This window comes from Homo sapiens, chromosome 5 (genome assembly GCF_000001405.40).
Source record: "Homo sapiens chromosome 5, GRCh38.p14 Primary Assembly".
Taxonomy (NCBI): domain Eukaryota; kingdom Metazoa; phylum Chordata; class Mammalia; order Primates; family Hominidae; genus Homo; species Homo sapiens.
The window spans coordinates 133,206,513-133,226,276 of NC_000005.10; the positions used below are offsets into that span (position 1 = coordinate 133,206,513).

Genomic DNA, 19,764 nt, shown 5'->3' on the forward strand with positions numbered 1-19,764 from the left:
CACCACACCCAGCTAATTTTTGTATTTTTAGTAGAGACAGGGTTTCACCATGTTGGCCAGGATGGTCTTGAACTCCTGACCTCAGGTGATTCATCCACCTCGGCCTCCCAAAGTGCTGGGATTATAGGCATGAACCACTGCGCCTGGCCTATTTTTCAAGTCTTTTCATCCTCCTGTATCTGGAATAAAATTCCCTTTCTCATTCCTCATTTTGTCTATTTTTGTTTGCTTTTTTCTTTATTGGGGTTGTGAAGGATTCATCTTTTTTGTTTTGCTTTCTATTAATTTTAGTCTCTATTCTTTCTTGCAAGTTTTGTTCTCTTTCAATTTCTTAAATACTTCCTTTTCAGGCTTTTAAGACCCAAGAATTCCTTGGTACAGCTTTCTCTGTATCCTGTAAATTTTGATATGAAATAATTAATAGTCTCTTTTTCTTTGCTTTTGAGACCATTGGTAGTTTTCCTTTTAATTTCCTCTTTGATCCAATAGATATATCCAGGAATGTTTTCTTAATTATCAGAAAATATAGCCTACAACATCTACTTTTACAAAAATTTAAAGTTTCTTTAGTGATATACTTTTTTATATGGAGACATACTAAAAAATTCTATTTGACTGATGAAAGGCTTTCTATGTTTTTATTAAACCAAACTTCTTGTTTATATTCAATTTTCCTGTCATCTTGTCTCTTCGTATATTTTAAATCAAGCTCTTCTATGTTAATCACTCTTGTTTTACGTATTCGTTACGTTGTTTGTTTGATATAGATCAGCTGTTCAGCACCTACTGTCTCTCAACATGCTTAGTGCTCTTAACCCTAAATTCCACATTGCCTGACGCTACCATGCATGCATGCTTTTTTGTTCACCTGTCATCACTATTCTCACCCCTTTAAGGGCAACCTTTTATTATCACTTTATGTGTGTTTCTTGGAAAAAAGTTATTGCTAGTTTTTAAACCCAGTCTGCTCATCTCTGCTTTTAATTGGGGAATTCAGTCATATTTGATACGAGATATTCACTTCTCAACTACCAATTTCAAACAACATTCTCTGTATCCTCTCTTATCCCAATAAAATGAGGTTTAAAGTGAAGTTTTGAGTATTTTTACTCCCCCTTTCTGCATACTCCCTACTTTTGTTTATTTTTTGAAACAGGGTCTCACTCTGTCACCCAGGCTGGAGTGCAGTGGCATGATCTCGGCTCACTGCAGCCTCCACCTTCTAGGCTCAAGTGATTGATTCTCCTGTCTCAGCCTATCAAGTAGCTAGGACTACAGGTGCGTCAGCACACCTGGCTAATTTTTTTATTTTATTTTTTGTAGAGATGCGGTTTTCCTAGGTTGCTCCTGCTGGTCTCCGACTCCTGAGCTCAAGTAATCCTCCTGCCTCAGCCTCCCAAAGTGCTAGGATTGCAGGTAAGAGCCACTGCACCTGGCTCCTACTCTTTTTACTGAAACAATTTATCTTTAGTTACAGCTTGGTATCAGAATTTCTTTCATTGTCTCTCTCCTCATTCAAATGTCCTCACCTGGCACTTATTGTACATTTCTAGATAGCCTCTCCTCATCCATTTTACTTTTAATTTTAGATCTTCCTCTCCTGGTTCATTACTTGCCACTATCTCTGTCCACCTTGATGTCTCTAATCTGGCTCATCTGATGTTTGTCTAGTATCTTTCCTTAGGTGTGGCCCATGAGTGATGGGCTCCCTGAGTTCCTGCGTACCCGTATATCTTTCTTTTGTCCTGACAGGTAAATGATGTCTTGCTTGGGAATAGAACCCTTGGAGCGTGTAGATGGGATACCACGGTCTTCCAGCTCCTATTGCAGGTGAGAAGTCCACTGTCAATTTGATTAGTTTTTCTTAAAACTTGGAGTGCTGGAACTTTATCACTAGTGAAGAGATGTGTCATTTCTCATCAGTTTAGCCTGGACTTGTAGATTCCTTTTAATCTACAGGATTAAGTTTCTTCAACTTGAATATTTTATTGGAAACTTATTTAATGTTTGACTCCGTTCTAATAGTTATCTTTTCTTTCTAAACTTCTGTTCTTCCCACTTCACGGCTCAACCTCTTCATGGGTTTGCTCTGTGATTTGAGAGAGCTTTTCTTGTTCTTTATCTTTCAGACTACTATTTTGGGTCTCAGTAGAAACCATGCATTTTTCTTTTTTTGTTTTTTGAGACAGAGTCTTGCTCTGCTGCCCAGGCTGGAGTGCAGTGGTTCCATCGTGGCTCACTACAACCTCTGCCTCCAGGGTTCAGGCGATTCTCCTTGCTCCTGAGTAGCTGGGACTACAGCTGTGCACCATCACGTCTGGCTAAGTTTGGTATTTTTAGTAGAGACGGGGTTTCACTATGTTGGCCAGGCTGGTTTCAAATGCCTGACCTCAGGTGATCTGCCCACCTTGGCCTCCCAAAGTGCTGGGATTACAGGCGTGAGCCACTGTGCCTGTTCACATTTTTCATCTATTGCAGTTTTAAACTGGGAAATCTTTTTTGTTCTTTTTCTAGTGGCCCCTCCTCTTGAATTTTCTGAAGTGCTTTCTTATTTTTTGTTGGTATTTCTGGCAGCTGTATTTCTTTGGGCTGGTACTCTGTTCTGAGTGGCCTTTATTGTGGTGTCCAGGCTCTCTGATAGGTTATTACTATTTTTTGTCACCTCACTGGACCCAAGAATGGTTGGTGGCTTCCCCAGTGTGACAGTGGCCTCAGAGTATAGAAACTGAAGTTGTGAGTGATGCAGAGGTGCAGGTAGGTGGTCAGTCCCTAGAAGGAAGCTTCTCCAGACCCTGGTCTTTCTGCCCTCTTGCCAGTCTTGGTTCCAGAGGGTTCTACAGGGGAGTTAGCTCCATTTGCAGCCCTTCTCACCTTGGGTTCTGAGAGAGAGAGAGAGAGACCCTAATCTCCAGAGGCATCCATTATATGTAATGAATTAACTTTTCTCCTGTGCACCCAGAATGGTTCTTTGCACCATCTTTGGGAGAATTGAGAAAATGGGCATTCAAATCACTTTACAGGGCTCATTCCTCTTATGGATCCCTGATGGGCAAGGCTGGGCAGGGCATACTCAAATTGCTCAAGTCAGGGTTGCTATTGACCTTTCTTGGCTGATGGGGGAAGGGATCCCACGGATCTCTGGAGCCCAAGCTCTACCCAAGGGAGTGCTAGATGTTTGGGCTCCAGAGCCACACTGTCTAGGGTGGACTATAGGCAAATTATGGAAATTTTCTGTAACCTAGCACACTGTAAGCACTTGGTAAGTGGGCTTTTGTTTACAGATATAATTGCTGCTGCTTCTCCTTCTTCATTGGCTAACATCTGCTGCTTGCTTTGACACTATTCTTCAGCCTCCCTTCTGGACCCCAGAGCCTCATTCTGTTGGGACCCAGGAGCTATTGGCTCAAGAGAGGCAGGATTGTGGGGCTGGATGGGGATTGGGTGCCACATTCTGATTGTTGTGATGTCAGAATCCTATTCATCATCATTATTGCTGTCATCAATTGCCTGTGAGGGGCATTGGCCTGAGGCTGTTTCCTACTCTCTCCTTGAGCCTTTATGGATATATTTTGGATAAATGTAATTAGCTACCCGGGGAAGCAGGAGATACTTATTTTATAGGGAGAGAGTTCTTCTCTCAGTGGAGTGTGGGTATCAGCCTCCATGTGCTCAACATACCTGGAGACTTGGTCGGGACTTGTGCACGTCCCCCCAGCTCAGGACCCACACTTGGTCATGTGACTTGTCATAGGACAGCTTAGCCGGCAGAGGGTCCACACCTATGGACTTGAAAAAAAATAGTGACATGTTGTGAAAGCTGACATGATGGTCATTTCTGGGCGTTGTATGCATGGGCATCACTCCTGGGCGAGGGGAAAGCCAGTCTAGAAGCCTTGCCAATGGTTCCATTTGGGAACCCAGGGCAGAAGCTTCCCCTCTGTCTTTTTTCTCAGAGGCATTATTATTATTATTATTATTATTATTATTATTAATTTTTGAGACGGAGTCTTGCTCTTGTTGCCCAGGCTGGAGTGCAATGATGTGATCTCGGCTCACTGCAACCTCCGCCTCCCAGGCTCAAGAGATTCTCCTGCCTCAGCCTCCCGAGTAGCTGGGATTACAGGCATACACACCACGCCCTGCTAACTTTGTATTTTTAGTAGAGATGGGATTTCTCCATGTCGGTCAGGCTGGTCTCAAACTCCCGACCTCAGGTGATCCGCCCACCTCAGCCTCCCAAAGTGCTGGGATTACAGGTGTGAGCCACTGTGCCCGGCCCAGAGGCATAAAATTAGTGGTCAATAATGTTCCTTATTTTCCTGCATGTTACTTAAAGGGACCTAGACCAACATGGCAAAAGTCTGAACACAGAGGCTAAGTTTTTCACTCAGGAACCAGCTCCAGGGTTCCTTCGTTCTTCCTGAAAGTCTTGGACCCTCAGCATCCTTCCCTAGACTACTCTGTGGCCTAGATTCTGGTGAGTTGGTCCTTCCTCCTAGGTCATCTGAGGTGGACTTTGAGATCATCCATTATCACCCCTCTCTATCTATCTTTGTTCTACTCTGGGCAGTTTCTATCTTGCACAGCCTTTGACTGGCGCCTCTGGGTCTCAGACTATGGCATCAGCAGACGTGCTCTTTTTTAACTGCAGTACTGCTATCCCCTGATGATATAGCTTCTCCTATGGCCCTGTCAAATGAAAGCTGTTTTCTACTTCTTATAGATTACAAGCTCAAAAACTCTGTTCTATAATGCTCATGCCACTAGACTATGGCCCCCTGCTCTTCTTCTTGTCACTGGTCAACATTCTAGTCCTCCCTTTGCTGTCTTCCTCTCTACTACTCACTTGGTCACTAAGTTTGGTGCCTTCAATCCACATGGAAGAGTCATCCAAAGCCCTCCTTTTCTTAGTTCCTTCTTGGTTTCAATGATCTTTTCCTCCTCCCCACCTCAGCCACCTTATACTTTGTTTTATTTCACCCACTCATATTCTAGTATTCTAGTCTCTCCGATGAGGGGGAGAAAAACTGCATCATCTCTGCCTCCACTGGTCAAAACTTTTCTAAAGAAGTAAGCATTTCTCCTTAACTCACTTTCACCAAGTTTCTGAATTCGTGCCGAATTCAGAGACCATTCTGTAATCCTATTTGACATTTCAGTAAGATTCCACATGATTAAACCCTTACATACCCTTCCTTACCTCACGTGGCCTCCCGCCTCCCTGGCTTCTCCTCTTCATTCTGACTTCATCTTTGACTGTCTTCTCTCTTTCACTGGAATGCCATGGCTTCTAATAACCCTCTATACTCTGATGACTCTAGAATTCATTCATCTGTTGATGATCTCAACCTAACGTATAGAGAATTGAACTCTTGATTTTTCCCACCCTGCTGAAATATATCTCTTCTCCACTCATCACCATCTTTGAAGTCTCCCTTTACTCTCTTGCTTTAATTACTCTCTTGCTTTAATTAAAAACTCTTGTCCCCTGAGCCTTAAGTAGAGGCTGCTTTTTATTTTCTAGACTTTACATACCCCGAGGCCTTTGTAGCCTCCAGCTACCTGTATTTGTTCCTGCCAGTTTCTCTTCATTCACCAAAGGCTTTAGCACCTGACACTGTCTTCCTCTACTGAGAGCTTCCTAACCCATCAGTAATGATACCATCTTGACAACACATTCTCCTCCAGCTATCCTGTTAAACTTCCCTCAAGTTTGGACTTTAGCTGTTCTCTCTCCTTTCTGCTTAACCTTCTCCCATTGGATTTCATACTCTTATTCTAAGGTGGTATGGAGCAGGAGTCCAGAGAACTTAAGCCAAAAATCATTTAAATTGAGGACAGAATTTTTCACAGTCTCAATGTGCTGAGCAGCAAGGCTATGGCAGCCAAGAGATCTGATCCTGGCAAACAAGCCCCAGGATTAGGGGCAAATCAGAGGCAGGCTGAGCCCTACAGAAGCTTCAACTCAGTCTCTACTCTCTTTGCCTAGCAGAGGAAAGTGTAATCTTCTATATAGAGTGTTTGCCATTAAAAGGTTTATTAGAAACAGAAGATAGGTTGATAGAACATATCCAAATTGAAGCAGAAAGAGACATGTGAGACCCAATGGAAAGAATGGAAAGTCCTAACTTTTTTTTTTAAACAGAGTTCCCAAAGAAGAGGTGAGAGAGAACGAGGCAGCAGAATATATGAAAAAATAGTGGCTGACATTTTTTTTCAATCTTTTGAAAGATATCAGTATACATATTCAAGAAATACACATATTCTTTGTAAATCCCAAATCATAATACAAAGAATGCCATATGCACACACATAATAAACTGCTAAAGATCACGGAGAAAAATCTGGAAAGTAGAGAAAAATGATACAGCACCTTCAAAATAGCAACAATAAGACTATCAGCAAAAATAACTGAAGATAATGAAATGATACCTTAAAATGCTGAAAGAAAAGAATCGCTAACATAGAATTCTATACTCAGTGAAGAATAGAAAGTAAAGATTTTTTTTTTTTTTTTTGAGACGGAGTCTCCCTTTGTCACCCAGGCTGGTGCAATCTTGGCTCACTGCAATCTCTGCCTCCCAGGTTCAAGTGATTCTCCTGTTTCAGCCTCCCAAGTAGCTGGGATTATAGGCCTGCACCACCACGCCCAGCTAATTTTTGTATTTTTAGTACAGACAGGGCTTCACCATGTTGGTCAGACTGGTCTCGAACTCCTGACCTCAGGTGATCCACCTGCCCTGGCCTCCCAGAGTGCTGGGATTACAGGCATGAGCCACCGTGCCTGGCCTGAGAAATACAAAGTAAAGTAAAGATATTTGAAAAGAAAAACTGTGAGAATCTGTTTCCAACAGATCTTCAAGCAAAGTTGGTGTTAGAACTATTCAGGAATTAATGGCAAATGTGTGGGTGAATATAAATTAATGTCCTGTGGGGTTAAATTACATATACAGATAAAATTCATTACCACAACAATGCAAAAGTAAGGGGGAGGAGGGTTGAAGGAGTTGAAGTGTTTTATGGTTCTAGCATTATTGGGGATATTAAGTAACAATTTGTATGAGACTGTATTGATGCAATGATGCATGTTATAATCACTATTATGTTAACAACATAAAAGAGTGCATCGTCAACAACAGAATAATTAAAATGTTTGGCAAATCCACAAGAAAGCAAAAAGGAGAAAAAAGCAACATAAACAGGTAGGTCAAATAACAAAAGTAACATAGTAGATAAAAATCAACTATATAATTAATTATGTTAAACATAAATGTATCAAATACTCCAAGTAAAAGACTAAGATGATTAAATTAGATAAAAACCCAACTACACGTGGCTTTATAAAAGAGGACCTTAAATATAATGACATAGAAAGGTTGAAAGTTAAAAGGAGGGAACAATTATACCATGAGAAAACGAATTAAAATAAATCTGATTTAGCTATACTAGTGTTAGACAATAGATTTTCAGGCAAGCAGCATTACCAGAGATAAAGAGGGATATTTTGTAAGAATAAAAGGAAAATGATATAATTTTAAAGCAAAAATGAGTAGAACTTTGCGAAATATAGTGGAAGATGTTAACACACCTCTCTGCAGCTGATGGACTAAGCAGACAAGAAAATCACCAAGGATAGATCTGAACAATACAATGAACCAAGTAGACATAATTGACACATATATAGAATACAGTATCTAACATCAGAATGCACATTCTTTTAAAGTACACATGGAACATTTACCAAAATTGGTCATAAACTCAGTCATAAAACAAGCTTCAATAAATCTCAAAGGATCGATATTATTCAGAGTATGTTCTCTGGCCAGGGGAATCAATAACAAAGAGGCAGTTGGAACATGTCCCATTGTATTTGCCAAGAGAAACACGACCCTGGCTATTTCCAACTTTCTTCATATAACAAGCCTTTACTGGGGAAACTGAGCATTGTTGAAGAGATCCAACTCTGGTCTCACTTTAAATTTATACCCACAATTCTTAAGTGGGCCCTCATTGTTGCCCAGCAGTCCTATCAGATTTGCCTGGCCAGTTCAGTCTCATGTTGAACTTTTACCTCTCTCTTCAAACCTCCAGGCTTGACTGAGAAAAAACAACTCAAAAAGAAGTTCATCTAACTACCACCCATTGCATCACCTATTGTACTTGTGCCTGGATGTAAGATATTCCACTTCCTCCTGTTATAATGAAAGGATGTGATTTTATCTGGGGCTAGATCTCCACTTGTGTGCTTTGGATTTCATTGACTCCTGCCTAGAGTCAATGCAGGATGAGGATGCAGGAGAGAAAGAGAAGAATTGTGGGAGTAGTTATTCTCAGTAGCATATAGTGCTGTAATGTCACCTACTTTAAAAAGTTCTTTTGTCATTCCCTTCCAGGCATTGCCTCATTTCTTTACATTTACTCACCTTTACAGCAAAACCCTTCCATATGATTGCCTGTATTCACCATCTCCATTTCCTCACCTACGATTCTAACTTGAATCCACTCCAGCAGGCTTGCATTCCACCATTATCCTATCTGTTCCTGCCAAGGTGATCCATGACTCTATTGTACCAAATCCAATGGTCAGTCCTCAGTCTTCATAACATACACATGCTCATCACAGCACAACTCCCTTGAAACACACTCTTCTTTTAGCTTCAAGAATATCTCTCTTTATCCTAATTTTTTCCTATCTTTCAGGTTATTCCTCCTTGGTCTCCTTTATTGGTTTCTTCTCTCCTTACTGATCTTTAAATGTTGGAGTGCTTCAGGACTCCAATCTTGACCTCTTCTCTGTCTATACCACCTCTTGGTAATTTCATCCAGTTTCCTGGATTAATACAGTTCATATGGTGACGATACCCAAATCGATATCTCTAGCTTAGGCCTCTCCTTTGACTCCAGACCTGTTTATCTAACTGCTTACTTGACTTCTCTACTTACACATCTAACAGTATTTTAAACTTAAATCACCCCCCAATCTGCTCCCTGCCTTGCCCGAAGTCTCTTCTCTTCTAACAGTATTTTAAACTTAAATCACCCCCCAATCTGCTCCCTGCCTTGCCTGAAGTCTCTTCTCTTGTAGTGCATTAGTTTCATATTGCTGTAGTAACCAATTATTAGAGATTTGATGGCTTAAAACAACACATTTATTCTCTTACAGTTCTGGAGACCAGAAAGCCAAAATCAATTGAAACCAGCACTCCTTCTAGAGGTTCTAGGGGAGAGTATGGTTCCATGCCTTTTTCCAGTCTCCAGAGCTGCATTTCTTGTATCCCTTGGCTTCTGGCCCCTTCATCCCATCTTCAAAGACAGCAATTCAGCATCTTGTTTCAGTTCTCACATTGCCTTTTTCATCTTTGCAGTCAAATTTTTCTTTGCCTCCCTCTTATAAGGACATTTGTGATTGCATTTAGGGCCCATCCAGGTAATCCAGGATAATCTCATTTAAAAATCCTTAATTGAAACACATCTGCAAAGTCCCTTTTGCTATATAAGGCGACATCCACAGGTTCTGTGGATTAGGATGTAGACATCTTGGGGGCTATTATTTAGCCTACCACACATTGTAAATGGTATCACCCTTCTATAGTTGCTTAAGTTAAAAGACAACTTAAATCCTTTTTACCTCAAGCCTTATATTCAATCTGTCAGAAAGAATCTATCAGAAAGTCTTTCAGGCTTCATGTTTAAAATATGTCAAGAAACTGATCCTTTTTCACCACTCCCACTGCTGTTGTCATCTCTTGCCTGGATTACATCAGACCAGATCCCTGCTCCATCTTCCTGTTCTTTTGAGACAGAGTGTTGCTCTGCTGCCCAGGCTGGAGTGCAGTGGTGTGATCTCGGCTCACTGCAACCTCCACCTCCCGGGTTGAAGTGATTCTCCTGCCTCGGCCTCCCGTCAAGTGATTCTCCTGCCTCGGCCTCCCGTCAAGTGATTCTCCTGCCTCAGCCTCCTGAGTAGCTGGGATTACAGGCACCTGCCACCACGCCTGGCTAATTTTTTTGTATTTTTAGTAGAGACGGGGTTTCACCACATTGGCCAGGCTGGTCTCAAACTCCTGACCTTAGGTGATCCACCCACCTCAGCCTCCCAAAGTGCTGGGATTATAGGTGTGAGCCACCACACCCAGCCCGTTTGTTAACACAACCACCAGGTTGATTCTTTAAAGATCTAAGTCAGATTGGATCAATCCCCTGATGAAAGCCCTTCTGTGACTTTCTCACTGAAATGTCCTCACTTTGGGCTTTGTTTTAGCTCCTGACTGGCCTCCGAGGCCCTGTGTGAGTGGGCCCTTGCTTGGCCTGACTTCATCCTCCCACTCTACCCTTCATCACTGTGCCTTCTCTCAGAGTCTCGGTCCTACCTGGCATCTCATTCACCTTGAGGGAAAAGGCCAATTGAAAATAGTCTTCCTGTTCCTCTTTTGCTTGGAACCTGGTTTTTCATAGTCCTTATTACTTATAGTTCTCTAAAATTCTGATTTATGGTCCCCAACTAGAATATGAGTTCTAGGGAAATTATTGCTCATTCATGGCTGTTTCCCTACATAGTAGACAATCAATACTTCACGAATAATTACACATGAATCTTTTCTCCCTTCAGTCTGACCACCTGGCACAGGAGCTGGGGAGTATGCAGAAAGCAAAGAAGAATGTGGCAGGCTGTGCCCCAGAATTTGAAGTTTTCCTCACTCCATTAAAGAGGTGTACCTGTAGGACTTTCTGGGCTTGGATGTCGACCACAAGGACTCTGCTCAGTGCTGGCTGGGCCACATAGATGTACCGGTTCCGGACATTGACTGCAGATACCCACTGGCAGGGCTGGGTTGCATTTTTTTCTCTTTGAGGACAGATTTCTTCCTGCAAAGGAGATAGGCTGTCATATATCTTCTTAATTGCCCTTTCCCTCCAACATCTCTAGGTACTCTCTCCCCTGACCCTCCTCTGTGCCTTTCTTCCTCTCTCTTAGAATCCTTTGGATCCATAGAACAGGGCACCCAAGCCCTCCAACATCACTGACTTCTCACTTAACATTCCTTTAATCTTTTGGGGCTAAAACTCCCTTTGCACCCGCTCAGTTAGCAGCTTCCAGGTTCATGTTCTTCTATTCTTACGCTATCTTCTCCCTCTCCTCATCTTCATTTTAAAAACTTCTGTTCATGGCCAAACTTCTGAAAGAGTTGCCTATACTCCTTCTCCACTTCCCACCTCTTGCATGCTCCTTAACACTCTGGCTCTAGTCCTCAGAGCTGACGTTGTTCTCCCCAAGGTCAACATGGACTCCCCACTTATTACATTAAACCTGTGTTGACTCCCTCTGTTCCCTCCCCTCCATCCTCCCTCGGCGGCTGATCCTCTGTTGCTGGACTCTGCTCAGTGTGCTGATCTCTATATGCTAGGGTGTCCAGGGTTCACGCCTAAGTTTCTTCTCTAAAATCCACCCCCTTGTTAATCTCATTGAAACCTATGGCTTTAAATACATTCTATGTGCTCACAACTCCCAATTCATACCTTTAGCCCAGGCCTCTTCCCCGAACTCTAGACTTCAATAACCAACTGCCTAGCTCCACTTGGTTGTTCAAAATCAACTCTTGATTTTACTTCTTAATCCTGCTCATTCTACTGAAAACCTGGCAAGTCTGCTGTTTTACTTCCATAGGCCAAAACCTTACAATCTAGTGAAGTGAGGCCATCCTTGATGCCTCTAACCTCAGGCCCCATCCAATGTCTCACAAGTCATTTCAGATTTACCTTCACAATATATCCAGAAATAGGCTCTGACCATTTCTGCTCCATCACCCTGGCCAGGTCACACTACCTGCCACTTAGGTGACTGCTATAGCATCCGTGTATGCTCCTGGATTCCACCCTAGCCTCCCAACCTGTTCTTGACCCAGCGGCCACAGGGATCACTGTAAAATTCAAGTCAGATCATGTGACTCCTCTTTCTCAATTCCCCCTCACTCCCAATAACATTATTTCTTGTTCAGAATAAAATCCCAAGTCTTTCCTACAAGGCCCTCTACATTCGGTCTGCTGCTTTTCTCTCTTACCCACCCTACTCCATGCCATGGGCGTGCTCAGCACTCCTCAATCACGCCGCTCTCCTGCACCAGGGCCTTTGCCTTGGCTGTTCCTTTTGCTTGGAATGTTCTTCCCCAGATATCTACAGGGTTTATTTTCTCATTTCCTTCAGGTCTCTGCTTAGTATCACCTTATTGGGAGGTCTTCTCTGACCTCGTCTATCTCAGCTCTCCTTGTACCCTTACTCTCTTACCAGCTGCATTTTCCATTTACCACTTGACTTTCTGCATTCATTTGTCTACCTGGGCACAGCCTTTCCTCCTTCACTAGATTGTAAGTAAGTTCCTTGAGGGCAGGTCTTTGGTTCACTGCTATATGATTAGCACCTAGTACAGTGCCTGGCACAGAGTCAGTGCTTAAAATGTATTTGCTGACAGAATAAATGAGTGTAAAAGGGGACCTTCTTTTCCTTTGTCTTACATGATATACAGTCTCATGGTTTTCCTTGCGATTGTGGCCCAACTCTGTCTGAATCTTCTTTGTGGTTCCTCTTAGTCTGCCTGTCCCTGAACTGTTGGTGACTCCAGGGTTCTGTTCCAGATACCCATCTCAAATCACTTGCACATGCCCTTGTCTGTCCCATTTGGCCAACACTCACATGCTAATGGCACCCAGATCTGTCTTTATCTCAGAACCTTCTCCAGCTCCTGCTTGGTTCTCTCATGCCACCCCCCATTCTCTCCTAGGTGACTGCAATAGCTTTGAAACTAGTCTCTCTCCTTTTACTCTTGTTCTCATATTTAATCCTTATATAATCCCAACTTGCCTATGAGACAACTGCAGCTTAGAGAGGCTAGGTAACTTTTCTAAAGCTACTTAGTCTACAGAGGTGGGATTTGAACCCAAGTCTACCTGACTCTGAAGGCTATGCCTTTATCTGTGACATCACGCTGCCTCCTTCTGGAAAAAGTAGACATCTAAGCCAGCAGAGAGGCCTGACGTGGGATGCCCCAATCTCCTACTCACCAGCCCTTCAGGAAGAGGCTTGTCCCATTGTAATTCTCGTTAGGTGTTTGAGCATTTTCTAGATGGAAAATCGTTCTTTGGGATCATTCCCCAGCTCACCACAGTCTTATATTGCCTGAAACACCTTCAGGACCTCTCTGTGTCTTGTGTCTAGCTTCTTATCCAGGAAAACTGAATCCCGGTTAGGATTTGAGAGAGTCCCTCCAAGTTACAGGTTAGGTTACTACAAATATATGAGAAATTTGTGCCAATGTGATGGAGTGCAATTATTTAAACCTAATTGCTGGAACTCTTTCTAACTGGCTTCATAGCTGTTATTAATATATGGAAGGAACATTGATGGGAAATAACACTTCTAAAAAATAATGAAATAACTCAAATGAAACAGCCTGGAAAACAGCTTTTCCCAAAGCCACAAATGAGAGAAATGGAACAGCCTGAGATATACCAATAGCTAGCACAGCAATGCTTTAGGAACTTGCCTGGGCCAAGCCCACTTCCTCCATGGGCTCCAAGCCCGTAACTATTCACTGAGTGAATTGTGCACAGTTATTTCATTCTGTACAACTGAGGACACACTGTATCCTCAAGGGGAAGGCATATGGGGCATTGACATGACCCTTTGGGATTCAACACTATAGTCCTGTCCTCAAGGAGCGCAGGGTATCCTGCAAGGCCAAGTGGGAAACAAGCCAGAGGAACAGAGGCCTGGTGTGGGGGCCACAGCCCTGGGGGAGGCCTCCTAAGGCTATCCTGGAAGGGCTTTCCTGGATCCTCTATCAGCAATCATGCTCCTGCCTCTGCCCACTGAATGTTCCATCGTTATTTTCTACCTGGCCTTAGTTTCCTGAAGGCTACTGAGAAAACACATGTTTGGCAGCTGTCTGTTCACATTGCTGTCTCCATCGTTTGACTGTGAATTTCTGGAGGCCAGAAACCCATTTGTACCACCTGGGCCTCACCTGAGGCTCAGTGCAGAGAAGTGGCTTCTGGATGAAGGAATGAGAATTTTAAATTCTCAGCCTCATCTATTCCTCTCTTAGCCTGGGAAAAAATTTGGAACCACACCACATATAGCAAATGGAATTTTAGAAATCAAATGGCATGCCTGGTTAAAGATAGACTTTTAGGATTTTGCCTGTGTATGATGTAGAAGCTGCCCCAGGCACAGTTACTTACATAGCTCATGAAAATCTTTTCCGTGGGTTTGAGGTGCCTCTGGATCTCACAGTCCACAGGATGGATGACGATGATACCGTCGTCGGAGAAGACATAGAACATGTTTCCCACGCTGAGGCCTGGGAGGAGCAAATGGAATGGGCATGCCCTCCAAGCAGTCGGCCCCTGGGCAGGGTCACACGCAGCATTGAACACACAAGAAACCGGCCACGTGGATGCATCTGGTGCAGGCACGAGATGCAATTCCTGGTCAGGGTGGGGTAGAATGAGCAGCCAGCTTGTAGCTGGATGGGTGCAGAGAGGGCCCCCCAGGACTATGAATCAGTAAAGCATGTCACAGGCTACGTACAGCTGCCCTAAGTCATCTAGAGTTGGCCACAGGTTTTCAGATAAAAGCCTTGGCTTTGATGTACATTTGACCTTTCCTGTTCTGAAAGGGAAAGCCTCCCTTGATTGTTTATAATATACTAGTCACATCAGGATGGATCAGTGGATGCCAAAGTAGCAAAGGCTTTCATTTGCTTTTTTAAACCCATGTATGTACAGTGTCACTTCCTGGAATGTGGAGTCTAAGAATGCTGCCCTTTGCCCAAACTCTGTCCTGGCTGTGCTGGCCAACCCCTCTTTCCAGACAGCTTGCTCTTACTTCTGTTCCCTGCCCCCCCACCGCCCCCCACCGTTTCTCTGGCAGCCCGTGCCAGGCAGCAGAACCTACACTCCAGTCATGCCCCCCTGACCCCGGCCCAGGGCTGTAGCTGTCTGGGGAGAAGGTCTAAGCAAACCAGCTGAGAAGGGGCCTTGGGGACCAGCTAGCTCAGCCTCCTTATTTTAAAGACAAACTGAGGTCCAAGGAGGGAAAGGGACTTGTCTGAGGCCACCCGTCTCTGTGCCAGAGCTGGAGCTAGACCCTGGGCCCTGCATTCTGGCCTCTGTCCCTCATTCTGTCTCTATAAAGGGGGAACAAGGTACAAGGAGATGTAAGCTCTAGAGTGCTCCTTCCCTCTCCCTGTCTTTCTGTCTCCTCCCGACTCTGTCTCCTTATTTCTATCTCCCCTTTCCCTTCCTTTCTTCATTTCTTTTAAATCTAGAACATTAAGATCTCTGTAAATTCTAGGGTAAATATGTAGAAAAATCTCTTTTCTAGTTTTTTTTTTTTTTTTTTTTTTTTTTTTTTTTTTTTAGCATGCTGAGAAAACTGGTATGCTGGTTTAATGGACTATCTGGGCAAGTTTTTAGTGAGTTAGAAAACAACAAAACAGGAATCACTGTTTTACTTTTTTCCAACAACTCTGCATGCAGTTTTCTGGGCCTTGGGTCCTTGGCACCCAGAGGCACTAATGTGAGTGGTCCTTGCTGTTGAACAAGGGGCTGACTCTATGATAAACCTCAGCCGCCTCCAGCGTCTGTGCTGAGACAGGCTCTGGGCAGGAGGGCTCCTGCCACCAGAAGCAGCTGGAACCCAGCCTCTCAGAAGCTGTGAACACCAGGGAGTATCCAGCATAGCTCTCCATAAGCAATCCCGGGGGAATCAGGGGCGCTGGGCAGCCTGTTTCTCAAAAACCAGATGAAGCTCAGCTCCCGCCAAGAGTCAGTCTTAGCTCCACAGCATCTCAGTGTTTGGAGCCAGCACTCCAGCACACACCTGCCCTGACCCCATCTATCTCACCCACAGCGGGAACTTCTCTTCTGTACTCTTTCACCTGACAAACTGCTTCCACGCAAACCTAGGGGCCAGAGGGGTCAAAGTCCCCACTAAGCCACAAACTCCAGGAACAGCCTCCCAAGTCTGCTTAGAAAATCGGTAGTTGGAAGAACCAACATAAGATTGAAAGCATAATAGAGCCCACATGGGGTTTGTGGCTGTAGCTACATTCTGGGCTGAGTGCAGTACCTTGGCCTTGCTCACAGTCGGCCCTGGAATATGAGGCTCAACAAACAGTCATTCAACAAGTAATTGACTTCACGGGATACCCAGCCTCCTGATCCAGCTCCCTGGAAGCTGCCTGAGTGTAGCTTCTGCTAAGAGGGCCCGAAGGAGCTGTTTTTGCTTTTGTCTGTTCTCCTCTCATTTCTCCTGTTGAGACTTGTGTGTCCCCTGAGGCCTACTGGCCTCTTCATTTTGGCTCCTTATCCCTATCTCCAGACCTTGAGTTTCAGGAGTGAAGGGTACAAGCTACCCAGGCAGTATTGAATTTGTTCACTGCTCAATTGTTCAATATACCTACCAACCCTATGCCCCAAGGCGGCTGTGGGTCTTTAGCGGGCACTGGGGTCTTTGTAGCTGATTTCACATTCCATGGGGCCTCTTGCATTCGTGGTAGGTCTCTACTTCTGAAACTTGAGACCCTTTGTAGTAACCTCCCCTAAGGAAAACACCACCTCTTAAACACTTGAGTGACTGTGCATCTCAGCCTAGATGCTGCTAGTTCAGCAGCTGTGAGAGCCTAAGGGGCCGCTGTGATCAGCGACTGTTGCTATTGACAGCAGTTCCTCGTTTTCTGGGCTCTGCCTTTGTTTTGTTCCCAGACTTATCATGTCAGCTTTAGTTCCTGACGTTCAGGAAATTGTTCTGAGTATGTGTCTGCATGCATATGCCAGACTGCAGGTAACACCGTGTGAAGTTCTTGAGGAAAAAATGAGATGGGAAATGTCTTGGTTTTCAAAGAGGGAGATTTTGTGCTTAACCCATCAATCACATGGTACCTCCTGCTGCTGCCCACTGAGCTGGAGAATGAGTTGCCACAAGGGGATTTGGACTCAGATCTGGTTGTGGGGACACAGTGGGGACTGGGACCCGGGCATGCACCTGCACCCCACACAGTGACTCAGGCTCTGCCACCAGCTCCCACACATGCCCACTATATTTTCAGCCATATGAAATTGTCAATCTTAGACCACTTTGATGCACAAAAATGGCAACTTCATATGGCTCAACTTACTAAAGATTTGCTTGATAAATATGTTTCTAAACATCTATACATTTAAAAATATACATTGGCAGAAATCATGGCAGCTTTTTTCCTCGGGTTTTCCTCAATCAAAGCATATTTAAGGTACAGTGACTATCTAGTAGAGATCTACAACTTGTTTTGTCTTTTTAAAACCACACAAGATAGGCAAAACACTAAACCCAACACCAGTCAGCTACTGGAAAAAAGTTTAAGGCCCAGATCTGACCAGGAACCCTTACCAACTGTTCTGCTTCAGCAGAGGTTACAAGCCACTTTTAATGAAAGCTTTGCATTTAAAAATTTCTCATTAAAGACAGGAGTACATTTTAAATTTGATTCAATGCATATGCCACTTGAATTTGACATTGACTTCCTGCTCCCATAGGGCTGCTTTGTGTGGGAAAGCTGGTGGCAGATCATGGAAAGACGGCCCATCATAGAACCAAACACACGTGATCACAGGCATGACGCAAAACAATGAAGCTTGGTACCTTCCTCTCGCCACAGGATGTTTGCAACTGCAGCAGCAGAGAATGAGGAAAGCAGGAGTGTGATGGAGTCAAGGAAAAAGAAGAAAGCAGTGTTAAACCGTCACTGCAGTGATTCCATTTATGAAGATCCTGGTACCTAGTCCATCACTTACAGAATCTATACCACTCATTGCCCTAGGAACAGTATCTTGGGGGAAGCTCTGGACATGAACAAATGCTTTCAGGTCTCCAGACCCTTTGATTCTTAAGTGAATCTTTGAAATCATGCCCTAGGACCACAGAAGCTAATGGAATTTCTCACATTTCATGGATGATCAAGAGTAAGCAACATCTCTCCCAGATTTCCTGGACAACCAGCAGGAGAAGTGACTTTCAACTAGGATTCTCCTAAGATGACCACGTGAAATACTTCTGATTATCTACTTTGATGAAAATGGCTTAGCCTGGAGTCTTTGACCATGATTAACACCCATGTCTATGAAATCACACCTGCAGGCCTACCTGGGGAGCAGTGGTTATGAGGAGAGCACGCTTAGCACACCGATGGGCTGGACCCCTAGTGTAAAGGCTACCACACTCCCAATGGTGTGCATGTGTGCACAGGTCAGGTTCTGGGCCACTGTGGGACATCACGTGGATGAAGGGCAGAGGTTCAGGGCATACAGCAAGTAAAAAGCAGAGCTGGGACTCGACTATTTGGGTTTCCTTGTGTTCCTGGGCTCTGTCTGCTGTCCAGGGAATCTCCCTGTCTGTTTCCAGAGTTGTCTAGGTTGCCAGGGAAGGCCTGCTCACCTCTGGGTGCCCTCCAATTCCAGCTTTATGCAAAGAGGGATATGAGGCTTACCCCTGTCTTCACGGGCTCATGGTTGGCAGCTGTGGCCCTGGTCAATTGGTGCCCTCCCTTGCCACCCAACACCTCCCAGCCAGCTCAGTGAGAAGCATAAACGCGTGTCGACTTACGGGTCTTTCTAGCTGAGTCTTCAATGAAGAGCGAGGAGATATCTTCATCCACACCCACTTCATTTTTGGCAATGCAGGTGTATGCCCCTGTGTCTTCATACCGAACACTGCTGATGTGGAGTTCGCTCCCATTGGCTGCAGACAGGACAGTGCTCAGGGTGGACTGCTCAGCTGGAGACCCACTCACTTTCCTTTATGGGGCCATTGAGAGTGTTAGGGCTGCCCAGCCCCTGGGCAGCCAGCAGCCCTGATTATACGCCCAGGAAGGGCTGGCACATCTGAAATGCACTGAGGGTGAGCTGGACCTGAGTGACAGCTTCTCATCATTGCTGTCAGAAAGCCCCAAAAGATCTGTGTGAGCCCAGATAACAGGGAAATTTGGGAGCCATCTGTTCACTCCTAACCTGTCTGACTTATAAACAAATTATACCTCTCGTTTCCATTCCTGGAGTCTCAGCTTGATTTGAATGGGAATATCGCATAGACGTCTACCAAGGGCAGTTCTTACCTAAAAGGGAGAGCTGTTTGGACATCTGAGTTGAGACATCCACGCCGTTTTTCAGCCAAGTGATTCTGGGCATGGGAATGCCCTCAGCATGGCATCTTAGGCTGGCTGCCACTCCAGGCTCCTGTGCCTGGCTCTCTGGATAGACACGGATGACTGGCGGCACTGTGGGTGAGAGTCAGTGCTGGTGAGAAAGAGACGGCCCTGACCTGGACTTGGGCCTGTGGCCCAACCTGAGACCCTGCTCCAGAGGGGGTGAACCCAAGTAGGTGACTGGAGTTCTGTGTTTAACCAAATTATAATAATCCTGTCCAGCAACGCAAGCTCTAAAAGAAAGGGCTATAAAATAGATTGCAGATAATAAACATGTCAGACTTTGTACCCTATGACTCATGGCTTTCATCATTATTCTAAATACGATCAGAAGGCCATCCAAATATTTAATGCTGTTCAGCTGCTACATGTAAAGAGCAGCAGCCACTGAAATTTATTTCTGAATAAAATTTAGATACATTCCCTTTCTGTTATCAGAAAGCCATTGGATAGGGGTTAATTTCTTGCAGGAAATGTATCAGAAAGCACTTATGGCACTGACTGGCAGGGCCTCTGTTCTGGGGAAGTT

The 19,764-nt window shown here is 44.4% G+C and overlaps 1 protein-coding gene and 1 long non-coding RNA gene across 7 annotated transcripts in view, besides 1 other annotated feature; one reads left to right on the forward strand and one right to left on the reverse strand.

Moving 5' to 3' along the window:
- The window catches only part of FSTL4 (follistatin like 4), a 645,613-nt gene that overhangs the window by 10,058 nt on the left and 615,791 nt on the right, over positions 1 to 19,764 (reverse strand). For 4 of the 5 annotated variants that reach the window (XM_011543283.2, NM_015082.2, XM_011543286.4 and 1 more), the window contains 6 exons: positions 19,146 to 19,307; positions 18,638 to 18,772; positions 17,678 to 17,704; positions 14,236 to 14,354; positions 10,717 to 10,866; positions 3,679 to 3,786 (listed from right to left, as the gene is read on the reverse strand). In XM_011543283.2, coding sequence (XP_011541585.1) covers positions 3,679 to 3,786; positions 10,717 to 10,866; positions 14,236 to 14,354; positions 17,678 to 17,704; positions 18,638 to 18,772; positions 19,146 to 19,307 — 701 coding nt within the window. The remainder of the gene's footprint in view (positions 1 to 3,678; positions 3,787 to 10,716; positions 10,867 to 14,235; positions 14,355 to 17,677; positions 17,705 to 18,637; positions 18,773 to 19,145; positions 19,308 to 19,764) is intronic. The other variant, XM_011543284.3, reaches the window with a different exon arrangement.
- On the forward strand, positions 1,375 to 19,528 carry CTB-49A3.2 (uncharacterized). Of its 2 annotated transcripts, none has more exons than XR_007058938.1 (3): positions 1,375 to 1,416; positions 1,753 to 1,830; positions 17,572 to 19,528. It is a non-coding gene; the product is annotated as an uncharacterized CTB-49A3.2 (long non-coding RNA). The 2 variants fall into 2 exon arrangements; XR_001742887.2 differs by lacking the exons at positions 1,375 to 1,416; positions 1,753 to 1,830 and adding exons at positions 3,481 to 3,579; positions 4,337 to 4,477.
- Positions 13,678 to 14,877: an enhancer, noted in NCBI's record as "BRD4-independent group 4 enhancer chr5:132555882-132557081 (GRCh37/hg19 assembly coordinates)". NCBI's record gives its function as "activates an origin of replication core promoter dependent on BRD2, P300/CBP, MED14 and CDK7 cofactors, and independent of BRD4, by STARR-seq in HCT116 cells {active_cell/tissue: HCT116}" and the evidence as "EXISTENCE:reporter gene assay evidence [ECO:0000049][PMID:35650434]".